The following is an 8,706-nucleotide window of genomic DNA, read 5'->3' on the forward strand; positions in this document are numbered from 1 at the left end:
CCACTTGAAGAAATGGTGGATTCCAGCAGTGGGGCAGGGAAAGTAGAAGATGTACCTAGACTAGTTCGTTGTGTTAGAAAGAAGAAAATGCTAAAAGAAGATGGACAGTTGGAAAGGACACAGAAAAGAGGCACCTATGGACCAAATCTAGGACAATAGTGCATCAAAATAAATCTTGATAATTACAGATTATAACCTACTGAATAGAACGGGAAGTGATGACTCCACATTGATATACATGAATAAATAAATGGGGAGCAGAGAAAGCTCTTCCTTATGGTAGAAAGATAACTAATAAATGTAGGAGGGATAATGGTATTAGACAATTACCAATGGCAGCCATCAGAGGGATAATTAATTTAGACAAGAGACATCAAGGAATACTAAAACTAGTGGGTAAAAATGGGGTCAGAAATGGGATTTTACATAGTATCAAATTATTCTCCCACAGACTATTTATTAATTTCAAAGATAAATAGTAATTTTACTATAGAGAAATCTGGAAGACACTGTTTTACTCAAATGGTCAAAATTCACACCAACATCTCTTTTGTAGCCTTCCAACATGCCTTTTTCAGTTCACTCTGGCTGGAATGTGAAAAGTTGATGGGAGAGAACAAATGGACTCAAGGAGGCTGGTTAGAAGGCACTAACAGAGATGGTGGTGGCTTAGAAGAAGGCCATATCAGTGGGGTAGAGAGGAGTGATAGGATTGGAAAATTTTGAAGGTGGAATTTAATAGAGTTTGGTGATGGATTGAGAGGTAGGGAAATGACAGAGGATTAAGGATAATTTGTTGAGTTTTGACTTGAGCATCAGGGTGGATTCTGGGTTCATTTACTGAAATGGAAAAGCTCAAGACAAGGGTAAATTTAGAATGGGGGATTGAAATTAGAGTTCTGTTTTGACAATGTTTAATTTAAGATCCATGTGTGTCAGCCCATTTGGGCTGCTATAACAAAATACCTTAGACTGGGTAATTTATAAACAGTATAAATGTATTGATCATAGTTCTGGAGGTTGGAAAGTCCAAGATCAAAGCACCAGCATCTTCAGAGTCTGGTAAGGGCTTGCTCTCTGCTTCAAAAATGGAGCCTTTTTGCTACATCCTCATATGGTAGAAGAGGGCAAGGCAGCTCTCTTCAATCTCTTTTATTTTGCTTTTATTAATACTTTTAATTAACACATAATAATTGTTCATATTTATGGGCTATAGTAGGATACTTTGATACATATATACAGTGCATAAGCTATAATAGTCAAATCAGGGTAATTAGCATATAAATAACCTCTAACATTTATTATTTCTTTGTGTTGGTAACATTCAAAATTTGCATTTCTAGCTATTTAAAAATATACATTAAGTCAGGTGTGGTGTCTCATACCTGTAATCTCAGCACTTTGGGAGGCCGAGGTGAGAGAATCACTTGAGGCCAGGAGTTCAAGACCAGCCTGAGAAAGATAGCCAGACCCCTACCTCTACAGGTGCATGCCTGTAGTTCTGGCTACACAGGAGGTTGAGGCAGGAAGATTGCTTGCCCCCAGGAGTTTGAGGCTGCAGTGAGCTCTGGTTGTACCACTGCACTCCAGCTTGGGCCACAGAGTAAAACCCTGTCACACACACACACACACACACACACACACACACACACACACGGAAAAGAAAAGAAAAAGTAAACAAGAAAATGTATTATAAGTTGTTGTTAATTATAGTCACCCTACAGTGCTATAGAATATGAGCACTTATTTCTCCTATCTAGCTATAATTTTTTATTCATTAACCAACCTCTCACTGTCCCCCATCGGCCTCTCATAACTGCTATTTCACTCTCTGCTTCTATGAGTGAGAACATGTGGTACTTATCTTTCTGTGTCTGGCTTATGTTACTTAACAAAATGTCCTCCAAGCTCATCCATGTTGCTGCAAGGACAGGGTTTCCTTCTTTTTTATGCCTGAATAGTATTACATTGTGTATATATACCACATTTTTCTTACCCATTCCTCCACTGATGGACACTTAGATTGTTTCTATATCTTGGATATTGTGAATAGTGCTGCAATAGCTGGGGCTGCAGATATCTCTTCAACATACTGATTACCTTTTCTTTGGATATACATCCAGTGAGGGGTTATTGGATGATATGGTAGTGCTATTTTTAGTTTTTTGAGGAATCTCCATGCTGTTTTTCATAATGACTGTGCTAATCTACATTCTCACCAATAATGTATCAGAGCTCTCCTTTCTCTGTATCTTTGTCAGCATTTGTTATTTTTTGTTTCTTTGGATAATACCCATTTTATCTGGGGTGAGACTATATCTCACTATGGTTTTGATTTTCACTTTCCTGATGATTAGGGGTGTTAAGCAATTTTTTTCATATACCTGTGGGCCATTCATATGTCTTCTTTTAAGAAATGTCTATTCAGATCCTTTGCTCACTTTTCAGTCAGATTATTGTGTGTGTGTGTGTGTGTGTGTGTGTGTGTCTGTCTGTGTGTTTTGATGTTGAGTTTTTTTAATTCCTTGTATTCCATATATTAGTCCCTTGTTGGATGAATAGTTTGCAAGTATTTTCTTCCCATTCTGCATGTTGTTTCTTCAGTGTGTTGTTTCCTTTGCTGTGTAGCAGTTTTTTAGTTTGATGTAATCCCATTTGGCTATTTTTGCTTTTGTTGCTTATGCTATTGTGGTTTTGTTGATAGAATCTTGTCCAGACCCATGTCCTGATGTGTTTTCCCTATGTTTCCTTCCAGTAGTTTCATAGTTTGGGTCTTTAATTTATTTTGAGTTGATGTTTTGTAGATGATGAGAGATAGGAGTTTAATTTTATTCTTCTACATATGGATATTCAGTTTTCCCAGCACTATTAATTAAAGAGACGGTCCTTTCCTGAGCAAATGTTCTTGGAGCCTTTGCCAAAAATCAGATGGCTATAAATATGCTGATTCATTTCTGAGTTCTATATTCTGTTCTATTGGTCTGTGTATCTGTTTTTATGCCGGTATCATGCTTTTAGTATATTTTCAAGTCAGGTAATGTGATGTGATGTAATGTAATGTGATGTCTCCAGCATTGTTCTTTTTGCTCAGAATTGTGTTAGCTATCTGGAGTCTTTTGTGGTTCCGTATGAATTTTAGAATTGTTCTTTTTCTATTTCTGTGAAGAGTATCATCGGTATTTTGATGGAGTTCATTGAATCTGTAGATTGCTTTTGGTAATATGGTCATTTTTACAATATTAATTCTTCCAATCCATGAACACTGATGTTTTATAGTTTTTCTTGTAGATATCTTTCATCTCGTTGGTTAAATTTATTTGTAGGTATTTTGTTACTTTTTGTAGCTATTGCAAATGGGATTGCTTTAATTTTTTTTTATTTTTATTTTTTAAGATGGAGTCTTACACTGTTGCCCAGGCTGCAGTGCAATGGCACAGCTCACTGCAACTTCTGTCTCCAGGGTTCAAGTGATTCTTCCACCTCAGCCTCCCAAGTAGCTGGGATTACAGGCACCCACCACCACACCTGGCTAATTTTTGTATTTTCAGTAGAGATACAGTTTTGCCATGTTGGTCACATTGGTCTCGAACTCCTGACCTCAAATGACCCACTTGCCTCAGCCTCCCAAAGTGCTGGTATTATAGGCATAAGCCACCCTGCCCAGCCATAAATGAGATTGCTTTTAAATTTCTTTTACAGCTAGTTTATCCTTGGTGTATAGAAATGCTACTGATTTTTATGTGTTGATTTTGTATCTTACAACTTTATTGAATTCATTTATCAATTCTAAGAGTTTTTTTGGTGACATATTTAAGGTTTTCTGTATGTAAGATCATGTCATCTCCAAACAAGGACAATTTGACTTTCTCCTTTCCAATTTGGATGCCCTTTATTTTTTTTTTCCTGCCTAATTCCTTTGGCTAAAACTCAGCCTCTTTAATAAGGACACCAATACCATTCATGAGGACAGAGCTCCCTGATTTAATCATGTCTTAAAATGCTCTATCTCTTAATACTATCACATTGGGTATTCAATTCCAACATATGAATTTTAGGGAGACACCAACATTTAGACCACAGCTATATGTAATAAGAATCTATCAAAGCTATCTAATATATGAATCTAGGGTTTTTGAGAAAAGTATGACACAAAAGTTAGTGGTCATCAACATATATTTGTGGCATTTAAATCTATGATATCAAAAAAAAAAGTCACCTAGGGAGAACACGAACCCAGAGGAAAATGCAGGCTCAAGCCAGAGCCCTGGACACTCCAACATGTAGAATTCCAGCAGAGGAGACAGAGCTGGGAGAAAAGCAAGAGGATATGGTGTCATAAACGCTAAAGACACAAAGTGGAGTACTTAACCAGTGCTGTTGAGACATCAAGTAAGAGCAGAACAAAAAGGTGGCCTTTAAGTTTGATAACATAGAAGTCATTATTTATTCATCAAATTATCTTGAGTGTCTATTTATTGAATGCCAAGTATTATGCTAGGCGATCGGGGAAGAGAGACAAGTAAAAGACAATTAGAATAGAAAATGTGATAAGTGCTATGATAGGGTTCTATGATAAGTGATATGATAGGTTAGGGAAGATATGCCCAACCTAAACTTGGAGGTGGGAAAGAGGGAATGGAGGCCTCCAGGAGATGTTCAAGCTGGTGTTGAGTGTTTAAGAGTGAGTAAGGATTAAACAGAGTGTGGTAAATTTGCTTTAGGCAAAGGAAACTCATGTACAAAGACATGTAGGCATGATAAACAGAAGTATTAGGAGATTGGTTTGGGTGGAATGTAGTGTCTATATAAAACAGCAGAGCAGGATGAGGTAGGAGAGGTACGTAGGGGCCAGATAATAAAAGCCCTGTATCCCTTATCAGGGATTACCTGATAATCGGCAGAAAAGAAGGAAAAGGCACAAAATCAATCACCTTAAGGATCCCAGGATGGAAGATGTGGAGGACTGCCAGGTGGACTCTGGCTATGCTGTTGAAGGTCTGCTTGTTCAGGCTATCTTTTGTTCTTTTAAATTCCTTCTCCAGGTCATGCGAAGTTGTCATTAGGTCCAAAGCTGGGGAGTGGCTTGGTGAACACAGACATGAAGGTTAATAGAGCAGTTGGCAAGGCAGTTTGGAGGAGAAACTGGAGGCAGAAACATCAGGCTGCAGCAGTGACATGGACATAGAATGACAAGGAACTAGGTGAAGGTCAAAGGCAGGCATCCAGAAGAAAACTATCATTATAAAATATTTGTATAGCCAGATGTGGTGATACGTGCCCGTGGTCCCAGCTCCTCGGGAGGCTGAGGAAGAAGGACTGCTTGACCTCAGAAAGTTGAGGCTGCAGTGAGCCATGTTTATGCTGTTGCACTCCAGCCTGGGAGACAGAGTGAGACCTGGTCTCAAACAAAACAAAGCAAAACAGGATTTGTAAGGGTAACATGACAAGGCTAGCAGGATAAGAATATAGTATTAAGAACTTTGTATTTGAATCTGAGATCTGTATCTATTTGATAATCCATAATAGTATGTCTTGTTTTAACGTATATAGTACTTTACTGAATAGTAGGTATTTTCATTTGATCCTAATGTTGGCATTGTATTCCTAAATTTAATAGAAGTGAGGCTAAGAGAGGTGATTAGGCAAACATCACACACTAGTAATAGTGCAAGATTGTAAACCCAAATGTTATAATTTTGAGTTCAGTAGATCATTTTGCTACCTAGAGAAATCCTGGAATAGTTTCTATCTGGAAGGATTACAGTTGGCTCACGTTTGGCTCACTTAAGGAACTGCGTATCTCAGAGATGGTGCTGTTAGGCCACATACAGACACTCACCGCCAGAGGGTGCCCTTACCCCAAGAGAAAGTTGGCAGTTCTTCCTACAGTTGAAGGATTCTGCTAGCTTTTCTTTTTTCAGGTTGTTTCTTTAGAAGTTGCAGAATGGAGAACTGAATTGTAGTAGCCCAAACGCTGCAAATCTCGGAGCAATGACCTGGAGCCTCCCACAGCTTGTGTCAGAGAGGCAAGATTTGTTAGGGAGATGCTTAATTCTCTCTGAAATAATCCCAGATTATGCCTGGTGGAGGAAGAAAAGAGGAACAGTTCAGAAATTAGATAATTCTGGAGATGTTTGGAGATAAAAGGAGTAATTCTTGTGATTCTAACGCAGGAGTGTAGGGTTCTCTCCAGGGATGATTCTTAGTTGATTTGTAGGTACTCTTCGGTAGATATTCTCAAAGGGTCATATTTTAAAATTTTGATTTTGCCTTAATAGGACAAATACTTTTTGCAACGTTATGAAGGCAATAATCTCAGCCTTTATTCTTATTTTTGTGCACAGGTTCATTTCCTATTGCTCTCTTTCTCCTTTCCCTTCTTTTCCCCTTTCTTTTCTTCCCTTTTCTCTTTCCTTCTTGGCTTCCCTCACTCATCAAAGTTATGTTAGCAACGGATAGAAATTAATTTACCTTGTGGTTGAAGTAGCTGATACTGGCTTAAATGTTAAGCCTAGGAGTATATGCATAGTTATAACAGAAATTAAGGTTCTTAAACCATGAAGTTAGAGCTTAACAGTGGATAGAATGGCATCTAGTGTGCTTGGGTGGTGGAGTTTTTTGAGGGGGACCGGTAGTTTCTCCCCGGAGTTTTAATATATTATTTTCTCATGAGCAGTCCTGTATATGACATGTACTTTATGACTATCCCTCGGACTCTCCTGGTCATGTCATTTGTTGTCTGTTCATAGGGAAAGTGTGAAAAGTGCATAATAATCAGGTTTGGAAAATTTGAAAAGAATCTCCCTTGCTCCCTATGCCCTCCTCTCCTCTTCAATAGCCACCCTTTCAGGAGCCCTAGGAGGATGGCAGGAGCAATCCAGGGCCTGAACAATTGAGATGATTCTCTTGGCCTCCACTTACTTTTCCTCCTCTAGGCATGACCTCTGGGTTTGGTTGGAACAAAAGCAGACTCCAAACATCACTTTCTTGGTGCAGGACTCAGTTTGGAAGGTAAGTCTGGACTCAGTCTGGAAGGTGGAGCCGAGGACACCAGATTTATTACACTCATCATTTTCAATGGTTCCTCTCTTGAAATTCTTCCATAGTGTTATGCTTGAGGAGAATTTGGACTAAAATAATGACACTTAAGTTTATACCCTGAGGAAAAAAAGAAGTAAGTAATAAGAGGCTGGAGGCCCAAGGCAATCTCCCAAGTGGACAGTATGTCTAGGTCTTATTCCTGTTTGTTAAGAGTTGAGAGACATAGTTTATCCTGCTTCCTTCATTGGGTCTTACCATCTTTTTCTTGTGACAGATGCTTTCCTTTGTGGCTTGGGACCACAGTGTCAATGTCATGGAATCAACTATTTATCCAATCGGTGGATTTGGGGCAAGTTCTGATTTATGGTTTCATACTGACAATTTGAAATGGAGTGGGTGTAAGTGCACATGCTGAATAGACTTGATATCAGGTTTCATCTTTTGCAGTTAGTCCTGGCCTATATCTCTCCAGTGGTGGTTTCAATAGTGAATCCCAAGGATTATGTGAAGTGTGGGGCCACTGAGTTTGGCACACCTCTCAAATATGTATCTCTAGAATGAGAGGTGGAGTCTGTCATTCCACCTTTGTAGCTTCACCTCTTTAATCCTTTAAGGTTTCTCAGTCTTCATTTATTAAAATGCAGGAATTCCAGTGAAACTCAAAGCTCAGTCCTTAATAGTTAATGCTTTAGTTTTTTTTTTTTTTTTTTGAGATGGAGTTTCACTCTTGTTGCCCAGGCTGGAGTACAAAGGTGCGATCTCAGCTCACCACAACCTCCGCCTCCCGGGTTCAAGCATTTCTCCTGCCTCAGTCTCCCAAGTAGCTGGGATTACAGGCATGCACCACCACGCCCGGCTAATTTTGTGGTTTTAGCAGAGATGGGGTTTCTCCATGTTGGTCAGGCTGGTCTCTAACTACCGAACTCAGGTGATCCACCCACCTCAGCCTCCCAAAGTGCTGGGATTATGTGTGAGCCACCACGCCCGGCCAATGCTTTAGTTTTTAATTAAAGACTTAGCAGGTATTAGAGTCAAGAAAGGTTTTCCCTTATGGGATCTTCAGATATTGTTCACTTTACAGATGAATAAACTGAGGCCAAAGAGAGATAAGAGAATCATCCAAGGTTACACATCTAAAAAAGCGAACCAGGGCTGCAATTCAATTCTTTCAACTTCTACACTTTCCCTTTTTCCCTCTGTTACCCTGTGAATGAGGCTAGGCTAGGGGTGAAGGTGAGAGGGAGAAAAGGATGCCTGAAGGGCAGAAATGAGCATGTGTAACAGAGGTGTTTAGTTCCCCAACATTTATTCAAAAACATTCACAGGACACTACTATTCTAGGCTCTGAGTTGGGCATTGTGGCATTAAAGATAAAAGTATGACTTAGTTGCTATTCTCTCTAGCTCTCCGGTCTAGAGCTGCGCAGGTAAACAAATCAGCAGTTATATTGAGTGTGATGGTAGAAATGAGTGCCATGGGTGTGCATTGGAAGATGGTCTATTGTCAGGATCCTTTTCATTTCAAGTGACAGAACTCTTAGCTTAAACCAATTTGAAGAAAAGAGATAATTTACTGATTCACATAATTAGAAGGTCCAGAAGGTATTTTTGGTTTCAAACACAGATATATTCAGGATCTCAAATACTCCGGACAGTGTCTCTAGGC

At 39.2% G+C, this 8,706-nt stretch overlaps 1 annotated feature.

Annotated features, from left to right (window-relative positions):
* Positions 5,774 to 5,873: a silencer, noted in NCBI's record as "silent region_1571". NCBI's record gives its function as "represses an Ori minimal core promoter by ATAC-STARR-seq in GM12878 lymphoblastoid cells {active_cell/tissue: GM12878}" and the evidence as "EXISTENCE:reporter gene assay evidence [ECO:0000049][PMID:35858748]".

Source organism: Homo sapiens, chromosome 1 (genome assembly GCF_000001405.40).
Source record: "Homo sapiens chromosome 1, GRCh38.p14 Primary Assembly".
NCBI classification, from domain to species: domain Eukaryota; kingdom Metazoa; phylum Chordata; class Mammalia; order Primates; family Hominidae; genus Homo; species Homo sapiens.